This window comes from Homo sapiens, chromosome 5 (assembly GCF_000001405.40).
Source record: "Homo sapiens chromosome 5, GRCh38.p14 Primary Assembly".
Lineage (NCBI taxonomy): Eukaryota > Metazoa > Chordata > Mammalia > Primates > Hominidae > Homo > Homo sapiens.
In genome coordinates this window covers 54,009,660-54,034,333 of record NC_000005.10, presented here as the reverse complement: position 1 = coordinate 54,034,333, position 24,674 = coordinate 54,009,660, and the positions used below count along the sequence as shown (strand labels likewise).

The 24,674-nt window shown below is 39.5% G+C and overlaps 1 protein-coding gene across 9 annotated transcripts in view, besides 3 other annotated features; it reads left to right on the top strand.

The window, feature by feature from the left end:
- The window catches only part of ARL15 (ARF like GTPase 15), a 426,632-nt gene that overhangs the window by 276,240 nt on the left and 125,718 nt on the right, over positions 1 to 24,674 (top strand). The window lies entirely within an intron of this gene.
- Positions 13,572 to 14,478: an enhancer, noted in NCBI's record as "H3K27ac hESC enhancer chr5:53315686-53316592 (GRCh37/hg19 assembly coordinates)". NCBI's record gives its function as "activates a minimal SCP1, AML or CMV promoter by ChIP-STARR-seq in primed H9 embryonic stem cells {active_cell/tissue: H9 hESC(primed)}" and the evidence as "EXISTENCE:reporter gene assay evidence [ECO:0000049][PMID:30033119]".
- Positions 15,217 to 15,990: an enhancer, noted in NCBI's record as "OCT4-NANOG hESC enhancer chr5:53314174-53314947 (GRCh37/hg19 assembly coordinates)". NCBI's record gives its function as "activates a minimal SCP1, AML or CMV promoter by ChIP-STARR-seq in naive and primed H9 embryonic stem cells {active_cell/tissue: H9 hESC(naive and primed)}" and the evidence as "EXISTENCE:reporter gene assay evidence [ECO:0000049][PMID:30033119]".
- Positions 15,991 to 16,765: an enhancer, noted in NCBI's record as "OCT4-NANOG-H3K27ac-H3K4me1 hESC enhancer chr5:53313399-53314173 (GRCh37/hg19 assembly coordinates)". NCBI's record gives its function as "activates a minimal SCP1, AML or CMV promoter by ChIP-STARR-seq in primed H9 embryonic stem cells {active_cell/tissue: H9 hESC(primed)}" and the evidence as "EXISTENCE:reporter gene assay evidence [ECO:0000049][PMID:30033119]".

The following is a 24,674-nucleotide window of genomic DNA, read 5'->3' as shown; positions in this document are numbered from 1 at the left end:
ATTTATTTATTTCAGCAAGGGCCAAACAGGCAGTTTCTATGAGTCCTGCCTTACACTCATCCTGGGAATCAAATCAATCCACAACAAAATGGATTAATTTTTCAATTTTAGTGAAAACAATGGGAACGTCTTAATGCTTAAGCAAACACTAGTTATACCTTCTCTTCCTTTTTCAAAATATTCTGGGGGAATAATGACAAGACAACCTAAGACAGACCTTGTGCCGGGCGTGGTGGCTCATGCCTGTAATCCCAGCACTTTGGGAGGCCAAGGCAAGCGGATCACGAAGTCAGGAGATCGAGACCATCCTGGCTAACACGGTGAAACCCCGTCTTTACTAAAAATATAAAAAATTAGCCGGGCATGGTGGCGGGCACCTGTAGTCCCAGCTACTCAGGAGGCTGAGGCAGGAGAATGGTGTGAACCCGGGAGGCGGAGCATGCAGTGAGCCAAGATCAGGCCACTGCACTCCAGCCTGGGCGACAAAGCGAGACTCTGTCTCAATAAAAAAGACAGTCCTTGTAAATATTTGTCAGTAAAATTTTAATGATGTCTAATTTAAAGTGCCATTTCAAACTATTATTTCTGTGGTATTTTCTTAACAAAATATTCAACAACTCTAAAAGATTTTAAAGTGATTTCTTTCTTTTTTTTTTTTTTTGAGATGGAATTCTCGCTCTGTTGCCCAGGCTAGAATACAGTGGCTCGATCTCGGATCACTGCAACCTCCACCTCCCAGGTTCAAGCAATTCTCCTGCCTCAGCCTCCTGAGTAGCTAGGATTATAGGTGTGCGCCACCACACCCAGTTAACTTTTGTATTTTTTTTTAGTAGAGATGGGGTTTCACCATGTTGGTCAGGCTGGTCTCGAACTCTTGACCTCATGATCCACCCGCCTCGGCCTCCCAAAGTGCTGGGATCACAGGCGTGGGCCACTGTGCCCAACTAAAGTGATTTATTTTGATAGATTAAGCAAACATTTTCTAAGCACTATCTGGTACAGTCTGTACAGTCTTTTTTTTGAGACGGAGTCTTGCTCTGTCACCCCAGCTGGAGTGCAGTGGTGTGATCTCAGCTCACTGCAACTTCCACCTCCCAGGTTCAAGCCATTCTCCTGCCTCAGCCTCCCGAGTAGCTGGGATTACAGTCATGCGCCACCACGCCCAGCGAATTTTTTGTATTTAGTAGAGACAGGGTTTCACCATGTTAGTCAGGCTGACCTCAGGTGATCCACCCGCCTCAGCCTCCCAAAGTGCTAGGAGTACAGTCGTGCACCACCATGCCCAGCCAGTCTTTTTTTTTTTTTTAACCTTATATAGCTGTAGATTCCAACTTCCACAGGCATGAAAAATACTTATATATGTACATATATACAGACATACCTACCTGACTCCAAATATGGGGATCAAGTAAAACATTAACCAACATTTTTAGTTCAAGGTGGCCTGTTAATCCAGGAAATAGATTACAATTAAAATAAAAGAAGAATAGAAAATTTGGGCCATCAGAAAATGTCAGGAACCAGAACTTTTTATGTTTAATTCTAATTTACAATAAGAGTCAAGAGGTTGAGTAGCTTTATGCATGATTGAAATAATAATACCAAACATCCCTATCCTTAAGTTTTAGTTTTGTGCAACAGTAATTCCCATGCTTAAGTAGTCTCTTCTCTTACCCTATAGTCTTATTTGCATTGTGAGAAATTTCTTCTCTTGCCTGTCACATTTTTTTTTTTGTCATTGTACCTGGCATGTAATATGTTCTCAACATAGATGTACCAAAAGGAGTCATGAATAAACAAGCCGGGTGCAGTGGCTCACGCCTGTAATCCCAGCACTTTGGGAGGCCAAGACCTGTGGATCACTTGAGGTCAGGAGTTTGAGACCAGCCTGGCCAACATGATGAAACCCTGTCTGTGCTAAAAATACAAAAATTAGTCCAGGCATGATAGCAGATGCGTGTAATCCCAGCTACTCGGGAGGTTAAGGTAGGAGAATTGCTTGAACCCAGGAGGCGGAGGTTGCAATGAGCCTAGATCACGCCACTGCACTCCAGCCTGGGCGACAGAGTGAGACTCTGTCTCAAAAAAAAAATAAGAAGAAGAATAAAAAAACCCATGAATAAACAAATGTGTCATTTAGACCTAAGAAAAATTTAAAAGCCAGAAGAGTCTTCTAAATTTTCTCTCTTTTGAGGATAAAGTCCTCACATGCTCCATTCTCAGCCTTGAGAGGGATAGAGTAGGAGTTTCTAGAGCTTGATTGCCTGTAGTCAGTATGAGGTGGAAAATGTATTTTCTGTTAGTAAGTAGAAAGGCTGCTCTACCTTAATCATGCCAATTATATATTATTTAATCATACCTGACCAGTGATTGGAATGATGATGATACAAATGTTTTTCTTAGGAATTAGGTGTTTCACAAAATTTCCAAACATCCTTTTTCCTTTCTATATAACGAGCCCAAGAAAAACTTTGTCATTGATATCACAAATCTAGTGTGTGTGTGTTGGGGATTGTGGAAGGATGTAGATGATCTGTGTCATGGGGAAACTGCATTTAGTTCTTGCATTTTGCGAAGTCTCGGGTGAAGGACAATTATTTTTTAGACAACAAAGACAAGAGCATGTCAAGTACTCTCGCCATGAATGGTGGTATATTTTGGAATTTGTTTTTTGGTAGAATGGGGCACATTCAGGTGGGCCATTATATGATGCAGCTCTGAATAAACTTTCCATAACACAGCTTTATTTCTCAAGTGAATTATATCACTGAAGCAACAGGTCGCATGGTCTGTTGCCTCCAGGGTAGTGCCTCTACAGCTGGGCAAATGTTATCTAGAATAGGACAATCCTCTTTTCTCATAAGTGCCATGTATTCTATCTACACTTCTTCTGCACAAGATAAAACTTGAATGTTTCCTTTAAGACCTCTTCCAGAATCTTCCCATCATGAAATAGAATGTCGTCTATTCATCTACTTTGACTGAGTGGCCAAGATGACATTTGAGCTGGTAGTTCCAGGAACTAGATGGCATTACTTTAATGGTCTGAGCATCAAGTTATCTTTCCCAAAGTGATGCACAAGAGTGGCTTACAGGTATTAATTTTTGTCTAGATAGTCTTAAATGTCTGTCTTAGTATTAAAAAATGCTATGTCGGCACAAACTTTTTTCTCATTTTGAGTGCCTCAATAATAAAGCTTAAATCTTTTAGTCTTCTAACCATGATCTTAGACTCCCCCTGGTTTGGGGGAGTTTATCTTGTCCCAACCTGTACACATGTACCATCTGTACATAGTAGCTTCCACGTGTATAGAAATAAGCAGACTCTAAGTATGTGCTACTTGCATTTACAGTGGTTTCCAGGTGGCTCCTTGTTTGTGTCACATTCTCTTCTTAAATTTAACATGTTGACCTAAATCATCCTAATCTTTTCAACCATCATTACTTTCTAGTTTTTTCATTAGCTTGAATGGCACTTTCAACGTTAATGTGGCTCTAATATTAGAACTGATTTTCCTTCCATTTTAGTGCTCTTTGCCCTTTAGCAGGTAGGAGATTCCTTCTAATTCTCATCTTGATATCATGGCACATCTCTGCTGAAACCCATCAAACCCAACTCAAGAGTTTATGTAATCTTGCATCTGCTTGTTTGCCTGCCTTTATTTTATCCCACTGGTTCTCTCTCTGTTCTTGGCACAAGCCAAACTCACTGCTGCCTCGGGACCTTTGAATTAGCTGGTGATGCTTCCCAGAATTACCTTGCTTCAGATCTTTGTATGTCTGGCTTCAACTCTCAGCTCAGGTAGCTTTCTCACACTCCTCAGTCACTCCCTATCACATCTCTCTGTTTCAGTGTTCAAAATGTAAAAATCCAAAGACATAAAATTGAAAAGACTTTTAAATTCTGATCTTATGTCCTTCCAACATTTCCATTAATGTCCTTTCTCTTAAGAAATGATAGTTACAATATGTAGTAATGTGTTATTTCTATGGAGCAGTCCACAACCTTTTATTTATTTTTTAAAATATTATCCCCCCTCCAAAAACTCTGTGTTGAAGCCCTTATGTGTCTTATACATAACTGCTGCTTTGGCTTTGCTTGTCGTATAGCAGGTACTTTTCCACTTATATCCTGACTCACTTTCAGAAGTCCTTTTTTGAAACAGGGTGTTGCTCTGTTGCCCAGACTGGAATACAGTGGCACGATCATAGCTCATGGCAGCCTCAAGCTCCTGGGTTCAAGTGATCCTCCCACCTTAACCTCCCAAGTAGCTGAGACTACAGACACACACTACCATACCTGGCTAATTCTTTTTATTTTATTTATTTATTTATTTGAGATGGAGTCTGGCTCTGTCACCCAGGCTGGAGTGCAGTGGCGCTATCTCTGCTCACTGCAAGCTCTACCTCCCAGGTTCACGTAATTCTCCTGCCTCAGCCTCCTGAGTAGCTGGGACTACAGGCACCCGCCACTATGCCCGGCTAATTTTGTTTTTGTATTTTTAGTAGAGGCGGAGTTTCACCGTGTTAGTCAGGATGGTCTCGATCTCCTGACCTCGTGATCTGCCCGCCTCAGCCTCCCGAAGTGCTGAGATTACAGGCGTGAGCCACCGCGCCCAGCCATTCTTTTTATTTTTTATAGAGACAGGGTCTTTCTGTGTTACACAAGCTAGTCTCAAACTGCTGGCCTCAAGAGATCCTGCAACCTTGGCCTCCCAAACTTCTAAGATTACAGGCAAGAGTCACCATGCCCGGCCTACTTTCAGAAGCCTTTTGAATATGAATACTTTATATTTTACTGAAAGTATGATGTGTGTATTTATTGCATATGTTACATATGCTTAATATGTCTACCATATTTTTAGAGAGTGGGGGTTTTTAATACTTGCAAATTGAGATTGTAAACTCTTTGAGAGCTGTATTGTGTCTTCTCTTTAGCATGCTTCTCTAGGTGTAGTGGTGGTGGTGGTGGTGGTGGTGGTGGTGGTGGTGGTGGTGGTAGTGGTGGTGGTGGTGGTGGTGGTGGTAACTGTTTTTATAAATTAACTATTTTCCAGACATTGTGAGAGGCATTTAACAAACATTATCTCATGTACTCCTGACAACCTGAGGAAGTAGTTACTGTAATCATCCCCATTTTACATCTGAGAAAATTCCTTAAGGAAGTTGCCCAAGGTTATAGGGCAAGTAAAAGACAGAGCTGAGATTCGAACCCAGAGAGTCTGACTCAAGAACCTGCAATCTAAAACAACTATTTGCAGCCTTCTCAATTACACCATGAATTCTTCGTAATTTTTTTTTTTTTTAGACAGAGGTTTACTCTGTTGCCCAGGCTTGGGTGCAATGTAGTCCTCATAGCTCACTGCCGCCTTAAGCCTTGACTTCCTAGGCTAAGGCCATCCTCCCATCTCAGCTTCCCAAGTAGCTGGGACTATAGGCGCATACCACCATACCTGGTTAATTTTTAGTAGTAGTATTATTATTTGTAGAGATGGGGTCGTGCTATGTTGATGGTGCTGATCTTAAACTCCTGGTCTTAAATGATCCTCCCACTTTGGCCTCCCAAAATGCTGGGATTACAGGCATGAGCCACCATGCCTGGCCAATTGTTAGTAATTCTGATTGACTACACTTAGTGTATTCAGAGAGAGACATTCATTTCTGCTCTTTGCCTTCAATGGATAGACTGCCAATTAAGTGTTGGGTAGAACAGATTATTAAATATCAACTTTTGACATATTGGTAAAAATCTAAGGAAACTAACACTTTGCTAGAAACTTAGAAAATGTTATTGCATTCAGTTGTGGTTTTTTTTTTTTTTTAATTTACTAAAAAGAAGATTCCCCTCAACCTGGTCCACCCCCTTGATGGTGAATTAAGGAGGTGAATTTTGAATGGGAAAAGAGAAAATTTGCTCAAATTAGTGAAAGAGCTTTTGAGGCTCTGAGGTTGTTATGGGACTTTGTATTAAGAAAGGACTATAAAATTATAACACATATGGCTGTGGGGCAGATTGAAAATAATTTAATCTTTTGACCGATTGCAGTTATGGAACTTGGAATGATTCATCATTTATATAAGTTATCATTGCTACCCCAAAACAGAAATATTGTCACCGGGTGCAGTGGCTCATGCCTGTAATCCCAGCATTTTGGGAGGCCGAGACAGGCGGATCACAAGTTCAGGAGATCAAGACCATCCTGGCTAACATGGTGAAACCCCGTCTTTACTAAAAATACAAAAAAATTAGCCGGGCGTGGTGGCGGGTGCCTGTAATCCCACCTACTAGGGAGGCTGAGGCAGAAGAATGAATGGCATGAACCCAGGAGGTGGAGCTTGCAGTGAGCCACGATCACGCCTCTGCACTCCAGCCTGGGTGACAAAACAAGACTCCGTCTCAAAAAAAAAAGAAAGAAAGAAATACTGTCTATTACTAACTGGTTGATATTGGCATAAGTACACTTTAATATGCATATTAGTAATGACTCTTTTCTGGGAATGTTCAGCGCAAAATACAGGGAGTGAGTTTGTTCTCATTGTTTGACCTGAGGGCTAGTATTTGATTCTTTGATTAAATAATAGGTCCCATGGATTACTGGGGAGGGGAGGGTATAAGAAAAAGTTCCCCGTGTGCTGCAGATGGCCAGGTTGGATGTGGCAGTTGGTGCAAGCATAGATCAAAATGGCAAAAGTAAAAATGAAACAAAACCAAAAATGTTCAACCAGATGATGGGCCATGATTGTGAGGTTGGTGGAATTTTATAATGTAAAATTCTAGTTTATCCCTTTTCTACTATTCAGCACATATTTAGGCTTGTTGGTATTCATAGTATACATCTCTTAACATAATTAATTCCCCTTTGGCAAATACCATATTCTGCAGTTCATTTAACTGTTCTGGGCTGCAGAGCCTTAGGGATCACACCTGAATTTCATTATGGAAGTTTAAGTAATTAATAAAGAGAGGAATCTCACCATTCACAATTGCCTTCCGACTGGTTAAGACAAGACTTGATGTAATTTTTTTCAAAAACTTTCTATAAGCACAGCTTTATTGCTTGTTTTGTGTGGTGCACAGGGGATGTGCAAAATATTTGGTCATGCTGACTTTCAACAGGATCCTACTGTCTAGAAATCCTGGATAATTCATTTTCTTTTCCCAGTTTCACCTGTTTACACTTCAGAGCATTACAAGCCAAAGACAGTCAATTAAATTTTTAGAAACACCACAAACCCACTCATTTAAAATGAATAGTAAGGAAAGAATAATAACAAAATGCACTTTAGTTAGTCGCAAGTGAGGCCTCATATCCAGAAAGAAAATCTTAAGATTTTCCTTTCTATACCTTCCATAGCTATGGTTCATGTGGCTTATATCCTTAAGAAGAGAGCTTTGCATCAAGTGGTCACACACATCTGTCAGTAGGAACTAGAGAAGAAGATTCCTTCTAGTAACCTTCTGGCAACTCAGTTTACATGTTTCTCACAACCCTCAAATGCCCAGTCCTGCCCCCTAAAATGTAATGTGGCTTATTCATTGGTGTCTCTCCATGTTGTTCTTCAGGAACAGGTGTTGTTGCAAAAATAATGGCATAATGGCTCAGGCAATATTTGTGATGATGGTAGGCCTCAGCTCTACCCATGTCTCCTGTAGTCCCACTTAGCTTCTGTAACTAGATTAGGAATTTTACTCCTTACAATCTCAAGAAAATTTCCCTTGGCTCTCTTGAATGTTCGACTCAGAATTATAAATTGAAAGGTATAGGCCAGGCACACTGGCTCACACCTGTAATTCCAGTACTTTGGGAGGCTGAGGTGGGAGGATCACTTGAGCCCAGGAATTCAAGACCAGCCTGGCCAACATAGTGAGACCCCATCTCTGCAAAAAATACAAACATTAGCCGGGCATTGTGGTGCACACCTGTAATTCCCAGGTACTCAGGAAGCTGAGTTGGGAGGATCACCTGAGCCTGAGAAGTCAAGGCTGCAGTGAGCTCTGATTATGCCACTGCACTCTAGCCTGGGTGACAGAGTGAGACCCTGTCTCAAAAAATAAAGAAAGAAAATAAATTGAAAGCTATAATTTTGGTATGTGACAGATTATAAGATAGACTTTGATTTTTACTATGTGCAGAATATGATTTTTATTCACTTAATAATTATTTCTTGAACACAATATGTGTCAAAGTTGAAACAAGCTAGTCAGTCTAAAAATTCAGCATTAACTCAGTTACTAATGAAAAACTATAAGGAAATGATTTAACGCATGAAATTATTTACTTCTTTGATAAATGGTCATCACCTTGGTACTAAAAATGTATTTAGGTTTTCTTGGTTTGTTTTTAGAAATTATCCCATCAAGCCCTCTGCTTCTTGGTAGAGGCTATTATAGGAAGTTGGTATTTCTAATATTCCTCCCAAAGAGGCACCTTAAGAAATAACAATACCTATGATTTGAAAAGTTCTATAAATATTTCTAAGAAAAAGTTCCAAGAAGATGCACAATATTCAAGGCAAGTAAAATCCTCCCGGAAATTATTACTGTTATAAGATGATGCTCTAGTAGCATAAAATATTCAAAATCCCTTCCTGGTCAATTTATCCCTGGGAAATAGCTTTCTCACTAATGTGATCGGATTGTAATTACCGAAACAAACAAACAAACAAACAAACAAACAAACAAATAACTTGCCAGTAGCATAGGATCTTTCCCACTAAACTGAGGAAAGAAAAGCAGTGATTATCCCTTATCACTTGGTATTGCTTTTATTCAGAAAGAAACACATGTCTTTTCGTTATAGCACTTTCCGATTTTTAAATTCTTGTTCATGAAAATGTGATTATGATGTACTAGAAATTTGCCTCAGGTTCTTTATCAGTCCAGCATCTTATATTCAAGGTTCCAATTAATTTTAAGAAATTGAATTAAATTCTCTGTTTCCTTACAGAATCGCCTTCACAAGCCATGATATTAGGTTTGCTGTTCTTGGCATGGGAAGTGCTTTCAATATGTGACTGTTGTTTGCTTTTTTTTTTTTTTTTTTTTGGTCCCTTTGTCTCTCTGCAATCATATCATATGTGTGTATTCAACTAGCAGATATAAGAAAACTCAGGTGAGGGTAAACTTAAGCTTTTGGTCGCTATCCTCACTTTCCATTTGTTCCACAAAGAAAGGATTGTTTCATTTCCATTTAGTGGCAGGAAAGTGCTCTCATGTTTTTCTGTAGATATCAAATCTGCCTGGGATTTGGCCCTACTTTTCCTTTATCTTTATTGGTTTTAGTAAAAGTGGAAAATTTATGTTAAAAAATATGTGTATATAACATAAACACACATACTACAAATAGACATATAAAACCTACTTTTATCATTTTTTGTATCACTTTATGTTGAACACTTCATGAAATGTTTATTCCACATTAACTTATTTGGTAAATGCATAAAAAATGTTTTTTTCCTTCTTGAATTGCCTTTTCAAAAGCCTCTGGATTTTATATGTTATACTTTGTGAGTATTTGTATTAACTATAGATATACATATGTATTTGTATATATATCTCTTTTCTTGACACTACAAATTCTTTATCCAGATTATTGAGTAATAGGTTGTTATTGTTAGCTGTTCTGGTTAAATATGAGTAACCATATGTTGTTTAGATATGAGGAAATAGGGTTATGTGTTATGATGAACATAAATACATTCTTCTTGAATATTTGCAAAGTAACTCATAGGCTTGCTTAGGAATCCTCATTATACATCTTATTCCTGGAGACATAATAATTATATGAATTGAGTTAGTACCATACCGACCCTAAAATAACAAGTAAAATTGTATCAGATATTAATTTTAAAATTGTGTCTTTTTACTAAGTTTTTATACAATACAAAGTATTAAAAAGTATGGATAAATCTAACATCGCAGTACATGTTACTCACGAATTTGGTTTTCTTCACAAATCTGCAAAAGTACCATTACCTGCATGTAGCTTCATGTTACATAACTGCCATTGATTTTTATTTTGGAATAATTATAGAGTCACAGGAAGTTACAAAGATAGCTGAGAAAGATCCTGTGTACTCGTCACCGAGTTTTCTCCATGGTTGCATTTTATAAAACCATATAGTACAACAACCAAGCCAGGAAACTTGTATCGTAGGGGCCAAGGGCAAGCCTCCCTCTTTGCCTTCTGAAGGTTCACTGAAAATCAACTGACAAAAGGCAGATTAATAGGAGAAAAGGCATACAAATTTATTAACACACACAGGGAAGAATCCCAGAGTGATTAATCCACCACATAGTGGGGTGCTGATGGTTATATACCCTTCTTCTCAGGGGAAAGGGTGATGGGGAAGTAGGGATGATTTTAGGAGAGTAGTAAATGATTTTTAGGGGAATTCAGTGGGCTTGAAGAACATACACCGGCCTAGGACAAAGTCTGTTGGGCCAGCAGAGCAGACACGATGGTTCGTGACAAAAACCTGCTCAGGTGTGTTGACAGACTTCAGTCTTTCTTCCTGTGATATGAGTTCAGTTAATGAAAACTCAGGGAAGGGACCAGAGGTGATTGTTTTCTTCTTTGGCAAGTCCAGACTCTCAGCAGATAAGGGAACTTCAGAGAATAACTTCATCTTTTGCTTTGGGAGGCGCAGAGGATTGAGAGAAGGAAGGGAGGAGGAAGGTCAGAGAGGCCTAAGGCTTCTTCTTCAGTTAAGCACATCAAAGCGCCATATTTTGGTGTATCAGTTTCTGAGCCCCAACGGTATAATGTGTACATATAGTTCCATGTCTTTTTTTTTTTTCACATGTGTAGATTTGGGTAATCACCACCATGATCAAGATAAAGTCGTACCCCTTTAGAGTCAATCCTGTATTTCCCATCTTCGAAAGTCTAGAGCTTAAGTCTGCCATTTCATTTTTTGCTTTTTCGACTTAACCGTCTCTTTACCTTTCACTGTTTTGTTTTTCCTGCCTTCCTGAGGGTTATTTGAACTTTGTTTATAATTGCATTTCCATATATCTGTAATATTTTTAAATGTGTCTGTTTAGATTTTTAGTGTCGTTTTAGGTATTACACTGTACATCCATAATCTTTAACAGCCTATTTGTGTCAACATTTTACTAATTCAAGTCCAATGTAAAAATTATTATCTCTCTCTACATCCCTTTACCCTCCTCATTTATAATATAATTGTCTTAAATATTTTTTATTTTTTCAGTCTAGTTTCTTTCGGTTGTTCAGATTGGGTAATTCCTGTTTTTCAGTCTGCAGGTTCACTGACCTGACTTCTCCATCCTGCTGTCGAGCCTATCCATTGAGTTTTTAATTTCATTATTACATTTTTCAGTTCAACGATTTCTACTTATTCTTCTTTATATCTCCTCTTTGAGAACATTGAGAACCACATCAGACAGTGTTGTAATTTTTTCTTCCACCATCAAACATGATATCTCTCAAGAGGAGAAGGGCATAGGGGTGAAGGGAACTTTCCCTCCATCCTTTGAAGGTTCAATAATTTGAGTCTCTGGAATAAAGTTGACAATATACAGATTAACAGGAGAAAAGGCACACACGTTTATTACATGCATATAGACGGGAGCCCCACACAATATGAGACTCAAAAAAGGGCCTGATGGTGGAAGCTTAAATAGCATTTTGAGCTACAGAAAGAAATAAGGGGCTGGGATTTCTGGTGGGAGGTGGTAACAGGTTATAGAGGTTTGAGGGGAGAAAAATGTGTGATGAGCAGAGGCTGTCTTGTTATACGGATAAAGTCTCTCAGCTAGCAATCTTCAGAATAGGTGGTTTTGACCTTTAGTCTCCTTTCCTGTGAGCTAATCTTCTCTGTTTGATAAGATTATAGAGAGGGGGGCTCAAAGCAATTGCATTTCTTCTGGAGGAACTTCCCTTAGTCAGATAAGGGAACTTCAGAGAAAGCACCTTCCTGCACTTTGGGAGGGAAAGAGGGGCAAGAGATGAGAGACAGGGGCAGCAGGGGACTGGAGGAGGGTGAGGAGAAGGTCAGAGAAACCTTGATTCAAAGCACTCAGCATGCCAAAGCACCATACTTTGGGACATTGTTTCCTGAGCCCCAATAATACTTACGCGTATTTTTGCTCTTTTCAATTTTCCTTATTCCCAGTGTTCCAGTATTTCTTCTTTTTATCATTTCTCTTCCATTTTGATAACTTTCTGTAGCCATTTCTTTAGGGTAGGTCTGCCAGTGACAAATTCTCTGAGTTTCCCTTCGTCTGAGTATGTCTCAATTGCCCCTTCATTTCTGAAGGATATTTTCACTGAGAATCAGATTCTGTCTTGACAGATCTTTTCTTTCAGCACTTGAAAATGTTGCATCATTTCCTTCTGGCTTCCGTGGTTTCTGGGGAGGAATCTGCTGTCATTTTAATTTTTATTCTTCTTTAGGTGAGGTGTCCCTTTCTGCCCTGCTGCTTTGAAGCTTTTTCTTTGTCTTTATTTTTCAGAAATTTCATTATGTTGTATCTTGGCATGGATTTCCATGGGTTTTTCAAATGTTTGAGGTTCTCTAAACTTCAATCTGTAAACTTCTTCAATCATTATGTCTTTTTGCCAAATTTGGGATATTTTCAGCCATTGTTTCTTAGAAGAAGTTTTCAGCCACACCCTCTTTCTTTTTTCCCTCTGAAACTTCAGTGACACAAAGGAAATCTTCGATTATGGTCCCACAGGTTCCTGAGGCTCTGTTCATTGTTTTTAGACTTTTTCTCTTTGTTGTTCAGATTGAGTAATTTCTGTTGTTCTGTTAAAGAAATTCAGGTACGCTGATTCTTTTGTTTTCGCTCTTCTATTATTGAGTCCATCACTGAGCTTTTGTATTGTTCAGTTATTGTATTGTTTAGTTCTAAAGTTTATATTTGATCCTTTACATCTTCTACTTACTGATGTTTTATATTTTTTCTTTTGTTTTATGCTTCTTTATTATTGCTCATTAAAGCTTTTTTGTTTTTGTTTATGTTTTTTGAAATGGAGTTTCACTCTTGTTGCCCAGGCTGGAGTGCAATGGCATGATCTCAGCTCACTGCAATCTCCGCCTCCCGGGTTCAAGCGGTTCTCCTGCCTCAGCCTCCCAAGTACCTGGGATTACAGGCATGTGCCACCACACCCAGCTAATTTTGTATTTTTAGTAGAGACAGGGTTTCTCCATGTTGGTCAGGCTGGTCTCGAACTCCAGACCTTAGGTTATCTGCCCACCTCGGCCTTCCAAAGTGCTGGGATTACAGGCGTGAGCCACTGTGCCTGGCCCTAAACCATTTTTATGATGGCTGATTTTAAATCCTTGTCAGAAAATTCTGATATCTGTGTCTTGGTGTTAGTGTCTCTTGACTGTCTTTTCTTTTTTTTGAGACGGAGTTTCACTCTGTCACCCAGGCTGGAGTGCAATGGTGCTATCTCGGCTCACTGCAACCTCTGCCTCCTGGATTCAAGCGATTCTCCTGCCTCAGCCTCTTGAGTAGCTGGGACTACAGGTGCCAGCCACCACAGCCAGCTAATTTTTTTTTCTTTTAATTTTTATTAGAGACCAGGTTTCACCATGTTGGCCAGGCTGGTCTTGAACTCCTGACCTCCCGGCCACCTGAGCCTCCCAAAGTGCTGGGATTACAGGAGTGAGCCACGAAGCCCTGCTGACTGTCTTTTCTTATTCAAGTTGAGGTGCTTCTGGTTCTTGGTATGACAAGTCATTTTTCATCAAATTTTAGACACTTTGGCTATTATTTCATGAAATTTTGGATGGATCTTTTTGAGACCTTCTGTCTAGTAGATGTCGTCTGATACTGCTCTACCTCTTTACTTGTTCAATGGGGTTGGATGTCTGGGTTACCCACTAAGTCTTTGTTGGCATCTGGTGGGTAGGCATACCTCATTATTGCTTGGCAGGGGCAGGAGTTCAGGCTCCTTACCAGCCTTCCCATGATACCCCCACTCTGGGAGAGGTGGGGATTCTTACTGCTCTGAGTACAGTCTCTACTGACACTGCAGGGGGGTGGCCTTGGTACTGCAAGGTGGTGGTGAAAGTCCTAACTAGTAGGCCTCCGCTGACACTGCTCCTGTAAGGAGGGGAAAGGACACATCATTCCCCCAGTGCCAGTCCAGGTTCCTGGAACGTACACAGTCTCCATTGACAGTGTGAGAGGGGGAGGGTCACCACTGATTTTTAAAATCTCATTTTAATATTTCAGATATTTCCAATTATAAGTAACTTTAATACTTCATATGTTTACTTTTTTGGTTATATTTCTTTTAGATCTACAGATATATTTAGTTTTTTCATACTAGTTTTAACAAAGCTCAGAGCTTACAATTTTGTCTGGTGTTGTAGCGTCACATTTGAGAACTGCTAATTTGCTTTTCAGATGTGAGAAGAAGAGAATAATTGCAAAGTGTGCTGTAGATGAAAGAGTTTAATGCTTTTGTAGATATTTTGTGAAAAGCAGTGAAAGTATAGGTCTGGTTTTTTAAAAAATGGAAATAGATGGTGCTTACATTCCTACTTGATTCTTCAATTTATAACAACCCAATTATAAATATTACTTTTTGTTCCAGATTTTTTACAGAATCAAGTGTATGTTTGTATAAGGCTACATTGGCATGAGCATTAGAATGTCATAATATTCACATTTCCTTTTCAAATTTAGGATGTAGTTTATTACATTTCTGGAATTATGCATATGCAGAAGATCTAAAGTTGAAATTTGAAAATTTGTAAATACATTCAGAGATTGAGATAATTCAGTGACTTCATGGCCCCAACATACTTAACTGTCGTTCAATATGATATTAATTGAAGGCTTTTAAGAAATCCTTCCAACAAATAATAGATTTCTAGGTATAGCCCTCTGTAGTTTTACCGAACACTACTTTAAGTAGATATGAAGATTCTCAGATCATTTGTTAAGATAAAGCTTCCGAAATAATAATGTAGACCCTCTTAAAAATAAAAACTACCAGAGAATTAATTGCTTTAGCCTTATCTCAAAGCAAATGGAAACCTACTTAAACAATACGTCGTTTACTTACCTTTGACATATGTGGATAAGGGCATAAATAAAATCACTTGGAAAAACCTTCACTGTTAGATGACAAACTTAGGTACGTCTCAACTGGGTTAGGAACATAAAAAGAAAAAAAAAAAACCTGTTTATCTTTTTCAGGGTGTTTCAGAAAGTCTTATACTTTATGATAATAAATTCATCAATTTTATAAATAAATTAACATACATATTTTTTCATTAAATTTAGTAGTTAAGATGCCAATGCATTTCATTGACAAAAAACTGTTTAACAATAAAGAACTCAATAGTACCAAATTCGTAAAGAATCTGATCTTGTTCCTTAATTTAGCCTACATGCATTATCTTAAATTGTGCAGATTATAGAAAAAAACAACAACATTGGGAACTATAATAGATTATTCACTCCGGGTGTTTAGTTCTGTTTTGTTGAAGAAAAGGGAGAAACTTTCTTACATGTTTGTTACTTCTCTTCCCCAAGTTAAGGCTAGACTTTACGGTTTGTTTAGCTGTGAAGGGATGACAGACTTGGGGGATGGTGAGGGGAGCTTAGTTTTGGAATGTAAATACATGTAGAGCTTGCCTCCTTTTGTTTAGCATCTCTTTAAACTAAGACAAAAAAAATCAGTGAATGAATGAATAGCAGCATGGTGAAATACCTAAATGTTTGAGTTAAAATTTTTGGATGTTTGAAATCCTATTTGGATCCTTTTCCCAGATCACGGTGCATTCATATGCACTCAGCAGGAAACTTCATGGAGATGCACATTTGGGCAGAAGGTCTTTGACGGTGCCTTTTTCTTAACTTGTGCCTTTTCTTCTTTAGAAAAAAGTAATGGCTTAAGTCTGACTGAAGAACAATCTTTTTTGTATGTTCCTTATAAGAATTTACTTATGGTTCACAGATTTTTACCCACCATCTATGTCTGCAATCCTTGGATTTAAAATAGCATATATCCTACTGCAGACTACAGGAAACACCAAATTAAAGACTTAATGACATACTGTTGAAAAAGACAAAAGGCAACAAATTATAAATCAATCCACTAAACCTTTAAAGTGAAATTCACAGAAAAAAAAATGTGCATTTGAGCTAATGGTTTTGTGAAGCATTAGAGTTTTTGTGCTTATGTAAACCAAAATACAGGTAAACTTGGCGGTACAGTTGGATTTGAATCCAGATATTTTTTAAAAACTATGATGAACATGTGGAATGTGCTTCTTCACTAGGCAACAAGCCTAGTGATTATATGGGTATTTCGGTACTTCTAAATGCTGCTCATTTAAAAAAAAATGTTTACCCCTTTTTCTTATTTTTAGAATTATTCTTCAAATCCTGATTGTTTATGGTATCTATCTAGTAATGTGGTGGTTTATTAATTTTCCTCTTCAGATTTGCCTTAGCCATACTGAAGTCCATTCCGATTTTCTTGACGTGTAAGGAAGTGAGAGTGTCTTTTGTCTATTGCTTAAGTTCTGGGGAAGGGAGCAAGAACAAGAGGCTCTGGGGGTTAATGGAAGGGTTAGAGAACAGATGGAATGGGAAGGAAAAGGAGGCCTTTTAAAAACTAGTTTTCAAAAGACCCTGGTTACTGCCTCTGGCTCATTTTTCTAGCCTTCCCTTTGGGAGGGTTTGTTGTGGGTTTTTGTTGTTGTTGTTGTTGTTGCTTTGGTTTGGTTTGGGTTTTTTTTTTTTTTTTTCTTCCACAAAGGCACTGATTCCCCCAGAAACTCTGACAGAACATGCTCCTTCTGGGTGGTGTGGGAATGTCAACCTGAGCTGGTAACAATGCAGCTAGTAGTGAAGTTATCATAATAGCCTAGAGAATCGTGGCTGCAGGGCCCCTGATAATTCTGTGGAGCTGTATTTGGGACTGGAGGTGAGACAGCTCTGTGTCAATGCCTTAGAACCAGGAGAGCCTGGCAGAGACATACCAAGCTGAAAACACCAAAGCACATTCAGACCTCACTCCACTTCATGACAGTTCATTTGAAGGTAATAAAAATGACTGGCCAGGGTGCACATGTTTGCATGTGAGTGAACAGACACACCATTTTAGGGAAATATGTCAAGCCTAAGCTCTCTCTTGTGCTCACGGGTGGATTCTAAGGTCAAATATACTGATGAAGATTCCATACACACTATTATCCTCATTGTTGTTATGATGTTTCAGTTTCAACAGAGAGCTGGATGCAACACAGGGCAGAGGCGACAAAGGCGGAGCAAATCCAATGCCAGAACTTGAGAGAAAAGTAGAGGACGCACCACGATTAACATGTTGGCAAATTCACTTTCTTTGCTGTTGTCTTTGCTTTTCTTTGGCTTATCATCATTTACAGAGTTGGTCTTTCCAACCATGAAATCGATCTCTCCGTTCTCAAAAATTTGTTTTAAATAAGAGGGAGGGAAATAGATGACAGTATATGCATAAGATGGTAGAATATATTTTGAGAAGATATTTTAGAAGGTATTATAAGGCATTTGACTCCTCAGAAAAGTCAGAGGGAATGTCCTATATGTAAAATGTAGCATGAGGAGGTTAACATAGACTGTACTGAGGTAAGAAAATAAGGTTGCATTTGAGCGAGGTCTGTAGCATGCTGTGATGAGCTTCTCAGCACACAGCAATAAGTGGAGGCCTGAGGAAAAACAATTTTACTGTGTTTGCAACTCTTCTAGAGGTTCATTAATTGTCATGGGGTGGGGAGCCGGTGTTAAAGACAAAGGAGCAGAAAGGCTACATAACTTGTGGTCCTAAAGCAACATGAAAATGTGGGGCTTCTTGTTTAAAAATAAAGAATTTCATGGTAGTGACAGCAGAGTGTTAAAGCAAGTGTGGGCCCTTATGAGTCCTGTGGATTGTGACTGCACAGGTGACACACCCATGAAACTGGCCTGCAAGAGGAACCTGTCCTGCACTCGTTCCATGGCCAGGAGCATCAATGACTGCCCCTTTTTCACTGTCTACTTACCATCTCTTTCACAGGGATTTCGTGAAGATTACTTGACAGGGAACGACAAACACTTGGAAAAAATTCAAAGGAAGCAAATTATATATTATACACTATAAGGGAGAGAGAACTTTCTCTCTACCCTCTGAATGTTCAACAACCAAGCCTAAGACATGAACTGACAGAAGACAGATTAACAGGAGAAAAACCACTTTAATTACCGGTAGCCGCAAAGGAGTTCCACAAAACATGAGACAAGGGAAAGGTCAGATGATTGAAGTTTATAGAACATCCTCAGCTACAGAAAGGAAAAGGGCTTGGGCCTTCTGGGTGGTGGTGACACAAGTTACAGGAGGGTGAGGAATGGAGCTGTATGGTGAATAAAAGTTGTATTATTATGCAGATAAAGTCTCTCTGGTAATAGAGCAGCCTTCTTCCTGATACAGTTACTTTACTAATGTAGACTTCTTTTAGAGATAGAACTTTCCTTTATAAAAGTATAGGTTTTCAGAACAAGCTCAAAAGATGCCAAAGGGGTGTATTTTGGGGTTGCACATTCTGGTCTCTCACAGTCATATTTTGGGATGGTGTGTCCTGAGCACCAGCAACACACCCATACACACCTCAAGCTATGTTTTCTAATATACATAATTCTTTAATAAAAGAAAGATTATTGACATAATTAAGGGACAACCAAATGTGTTGTGACCATCTAAAATGTTTGCCATGTCAATAGTGGAATGATTAAGGTAACATTATTAAAAAGTGTCCCAACTCTAAAGTTCTGTGAGTCTAATATCCGTAATCATTTTATGAAGATTTATAATGTAAAAGCCTGCCTGATGTTCAGCTTAATAAAAGAGTAACTTATGTATGGATGTTAAGGAGATAGTTAAACTGAATACCTGATACAGGTTGAGCATCCCTTATCCAAAATGCTTGGGACTAGCAGTGTTTCACATTTTGGATTTTTTTCAGGTTTGGGAACATTTGTGTTTTTTTGTTTGTTTGTTTGTTTGTTTTTGTTTTTGTTTTTTTTTTTTTGAGATGGAGTTTCGCTATTGTTACCTAGGCTGGAGTGCAGTGGTGCGATCTTGGCTCACCGCAACTTCTGCCTCCTAGGTTCAAGCAATCTCTCCTGCCTCAGCCTCCTGAGTAGCTATTACAGGTGCCCACCACCATGCCTGGCTAGTTTTTTGTATTTTTAGTAGAGACGGGGTTTTGCCATGTTGGGCAGGCTGGTCTCGAACTCCTGACTTCAGGTGATCTACCTGCCTTGACCTCCCAAAGTGCTGGGATTATAGGTGTGAGCCACCGCGCCTGGCCTGGGTTTAGGAATATTTGTATTTCACTTATATAGGGGCAAAGGGAAAACCTTCCCTTCACCCTTGGAAGGTTCACTGATAAATCAATTCAAAAAGGCAGATGAAGAGAAAAGGCACACAAATATATTAACTTGCACACAGGGCAGAACCACAGAGTGATTACATACACCCTAAAGGGGTTCAGGAGCTCAGAAGCTTATATACGATCTTGAGGTTAAAAAAGAATGGGAGGCCGAGGCGGGTGGATCACCTGAGGTCAGGAGTTTGAGACCAGACTGACCAACATGGCGAAACCCCGTCTCTATTAAAATTACAAAAAAAAATCTAGCCAGGTATGGTGACGTGTGCCTGTAATCCCAGCTACTTGGGAGGCTGAGACAGGAGAATAGCTTGAACCCAGGAGATGGAGATTGCAGTGAGCTGAGATCATGCCACTTCACTCCAGCCTAGGCGACAGAGCAAGACTCTAGCTCAAAAAAAAAAAAAGAATGGGGACTTGGGTCCTGGCAAAACAGGTTATGGGATGGGGGACAAGAGGAATTCTGATGAAGGGCAATAAATGATTACTTGGGAGAATTAATGGATGAAGAACAGAGATTAACTTGTAAATAGTTCTCTTTGGGTCTGCTCAGGTGTCCTTACATTCTTGGTCTTCTTTTCTGCAATAGGTACAAGATAACAGGGAGGAGAAGAAAAACAGTTGTTCTCCTTGTGATTCCCTTGGATCTTTAGGTAGAGTGGGAAAAAATCTCTTCCAGTGTCTGTTGTTCTCCAAGAGCCTTTAATTCAAAATACTCATTATACCAGGGAGTAGTGTTTTGGGGTGAAGTTCCCTATGATCCTTCATTTGTTTGTTAAACATCTCTAATCTGAGAATTTGAAATCCAAAATGCTCCAATAACCATTAACTTTAAGCATGATCTTTGAGTGTCATGTCAGCACTCAAAAAGTTTCAGATTTTGAAATATTTCAGATTTTGTAATCACCTAATGGGTTCTTCTTACCCACTGTGCAGATGAAGCCAATTCACTGAGACAGCATTATTGCATTAGAGAAAGAGTTCAATTATTGCAAGGCAGCCTAGTGGAAGGATGGGAGTTATTACTCAAGTCTGTCTCCTCAGAGGTTCAGAGGTTAGAGCTTTTCAAGGGTAGTTTGTTGGGTGGGGGGGTAAGGGAATGGGTGCTGCTGATTGATTACAAGTGAAATCATAGGGGTGTGGAGAACAGCCCTTGTGTGCTGAGTCAGCCTGTGGGTGGGGCCACAGAACTGGTTGAGTCATGAGTCACAGGTCTAGATGGAGTCAGTCAGTTGCCAGGATGCAGGATGAAGAAATATCTCAAAGGACCAATCTTAAGTTCTACAATAGTGATGTTATTTATAGTAGCAAGTGGGGAAGTCACAAATCTTGTGACCTCTGGTGCCTTATAGGAAGGTAAGCTATGCCTGCATCTTACCAGAATTCAGGCCCTTCCCATAATTCTAATCTTGTGGCTTTTCAAAATTAATCTTACAGAGGCAGTTTCAGTCCCTGAACAAGGAAAGTGTCAATTTTAGGGAGCAACTAGCATCATCATTGTTTCAAAGTTAAAATTTAAACTAAATCTCTCCAATGGTTAGCTTGGCCTGTGCCTGGGAATGAGTGAGGACAGCCAGCCTGTGAGGTTAGAAGCAAGATGGAATCAGTCATGCTAGACTTCTCTCACTGTCATAATCTTTGCAAAGGTGGTTTCAGATTTTTCAGATTTTCTGACTAGGGATGCTTAACCTATATGAGATAAAACTTACCAACTTAAATTCATTGGCTTGCATATTTTTAACTTGTAAAATGAAATTAGCTTTCTATACTCAGTTTTCAAAACTAATAGAGATGTCTTAAAATTGAATAAAAGAAAGTAGGAAAAAGAAAGAAGTCCGGGCGTGGTGGCTCACACCTGTAATCCCAGCACTTTGGGAGGCTGAGGTGGGTGGATCACCTGAGGTCAGGAGTTCAAGACCACCCTGGCCAACATGGTGAAACTCCGTCTCTACTAAAAATTCGAAAATTAGCCGGGTGTGGTGGTGCATGCCTGTAGTCCCAGCTATTCAGGAGGCTGAGGCAGGAGAATTGCTTGTGAGTGAGCCGAGATTGCACTACTGCACTCCGGCCTTGGCGACAGAGCGAGACTCCATCTAAAAAAAAAAAAAGAGTCCAGCGTGGTGGCTCACACCTATAATCCCAGCACTTTGGTAGGCCGAGGCGGGTGGATCACCTGAGGTTGGGAGTTGGAGACCAGCCTGACCAACATGGAGAAACCCCATCTCTACTAAAAATACAAAATTAGCTGGGTGTGGTGGTACATGCCTGTAATCCCAGGTACTTGGGAGGCTGAGGCAGGAGAATTGCTTGAAGCTGGGAGGTGGAGGTTGTGGTGAGCTGAGATCTCACTGTTGCACTCCAACCTGGGCAACAAGAGCAAAACCTCGTCTCAAAAAAAAAAAAAAAGAAAAGAAATATTATTTTTTGTTGTTTGTTTTTCAACTTGCATAGCCTGGGTTAAATGCAGCCAGTGAGTAATAATGCAAGTCCTCAATCATTCAAGACAAAACTAAATTGTTGTCTTTAGTGATACAAAGGAGAGTGACCAAATAAGAGCTAGGGAACTGAGAGACTTCATGGGATGCATACAAGCATGGAACCCATAAAACAATCAAAACCATGAAGAGGACTATCAGCCAGTTATAGAATCTTTATTTCTGGAAGACTACAATATTTGCTTATCTAAAGGGATGGACAGTATCTTCTCTCATCTCTTTCAGAGCTATTATTTGATCTGAAATATTACAAGGCTATAAAAGGATTTTATAATGTTTGCATGCCATTTTAAGAACACATATAAACAGTGTATTTAAAATCTGTTATTTTTATACAAAGTGATGGTAATTTGTTAGGTATCGCTAGAAATGCTACCTTAAATTTACAATATTTGGTTTGTCTATTAAACATTTATGCTCTTTTTTTTTTGAGACAGAGTCTTGCTCTGTTGCCAGGCTAGGGTGCAGTGGCGCGATCTCAGCTCACTGCAACCTTGGCCTCCTGGTTTCAAGAAATTCTCTTGCCACAGCCTCCCCAGTAGCTGGGACTACAGGTGCGTGCCACCACACGCAGCTAATTTTTGTATTTTTAGTAGAGTCGGGATTTCACCATGTTGGCCAGGATGGTCTTGATCTCTTGACCTCGAGATCCGCCCGCCTCGGTTTCCCAAAGTGCTGGGATTACAGGTGTGAGCCACAACACCCGGCCCTTATGCTCTTTTAAGACCGTAGTTTTCCAGCATTTCCTCCACTGCCTTTGGTTAGACTGCCTGCATTCAAGCTTCCCTTCCTGAATTTTCTGACTTAGCAAGCCTTTTAACTTCGGTGTCTTAGGTTGTTTTAGGTTAAATGTTCTGGGAAAGAAGTTAAAAATGGAACTCATGCTATTTTTCACCCTAACCACCTATATAATCACTATCAAGTTTCTACCCATGAAGAATAGTATTTCCAAATACTGACACCTTTTTCTGTTATTTATTTAAAAACAAACAAAAAACAAAACAACAACAACAACAAAAAACCAACCTCTTCTGATTACAGGAGAAATGTGCTCATTTTAAGAAATGCACACATTACTGAAACGGGTCATATAGAAAGTTGAAGTTCTGTGTAATACAACTTTTTGAGGTAATAATGGTGGAAGTTTGGTGAAACACTTAAATTTTACAGTTTTATAATCTACAAAGCCATAATGTATAGAACTCTGGATATTCACAGTATATATTTCTAAAGGTTGAATTCCTTATATGCCAACTTCTGTGAAACTACACTTATTTTCACTCTAGAGACTTAACCTTGAATCGTGAAATCTGCTCACGGAGGGCTTTTTCCACTCCCGGCACAGGCTAGGCATCTGTCTTATAATTTGGCCTTTTATCACTTCACTAAGGACTTCTTCCACAGTCTTTGTGAGAGCTGATTTTTTTTTTTTTTTTTTGAGACGGAGCCTTGCTCTGTCGCCCGGGCTGGAGTGCAGTGGCGCGATCTCAGCTCACTGCAAGCTCCGCCTCCCGGGTTCACGCCATTCTCCGGCCTCATCCTCTCCGAGTAGCTGGGACTACAGGCGCCCACCACCAAGCCCCGCTAATTTTTTGTATTTTCAGTAGAGACGGGGTTTCACCGTGTTCTCCATCTCCTGACCTCGTGATCCGCGCGCCTCAGCCTCCCAAAGTGCTGGGATTACAAGCGTGAGCCACCGCCCCCGGCCTGATTTTTTTAAAATTTTTTTTATTTTACTGATTTGATGGAGTCATTGTTGGGATCAATAAAATAATGCGATAATTTCTTCAGAAACCATTGTCATCTTTAGATGTCCTTGGTGTTGGACAGTCTTGGGCTTTGTATTGCAGGTTATTATTATTTTTTATTTAGCTGGCGGTTATTCAGAGCCAAGTCTGGTGAATATTTTGAATCATGTTGGTTCCCTTCCAGATATGGTCAAAGATGAGGTGATATCTACTAGGCATTGAGACTGTTTGTCTTGAATGTCTTGTTAACTAACTCTCTAGATAATTCCAGTGGAAATACTAATGTTTAGCAGTGACAGTATCAATTGGAATATTGCCTATCTTGACAATTTTTTTAGACCAGTGTTTTGGAAGTCTTAAATTTGTAGCTCATTTATTGAAAAATCAATCTACTTGTTTTACTTCATTGTCATTGCTTTGACACTTATAAAGTAATTATTAAATGTAAGGTGAATGTTACTACTATGCATGGATTGTTTAGCAAATCTCCTGTTCAAGGAGCAGATTTTTAGTCCTGTTGAGCCTGCCCTTCAGGAAGAAATGAAGTGAGTGGGGCAGTGTTTTTGTGTTTTTCGGGAGGGCTTTCCTTTTACTCAGGTCTGCTAAAAGAATGCAAATCGCTTCAAAACAGTCATCATTCTCCCTTTCTTTGTGGCCTTATGTGTTGGTCTTAATCTCCTCCTTTCTGTCTTTTTGTTTTTGTTTTTTTCCTCAGTAAAGAGAGTCAGGAGCCTGCCCTTTCCTCCCTTTCTCTCACCTCACCTCCAGGGTGGCCTGAGAATTGAGGAAGAACCTTAAATTCTGCTCTTTGTTAAGAGCTCTGATAACTGGAACTGTTGGAATATTGCTAAAATGGGTTTTGGAGATGTTCCCTACTCTCCCTGCCTGCCATTTCCACAGATTACTGAGGATTGGCTCTGTTGCCAAATGAGGCTGATATTGAGCCTCAAATTTTGACCCATTTTTCATCAAGTTTGTCTTAATATAGAAGTTGCAAGATTTAGTAGTGCAGCAATTATTGTTCTTATAG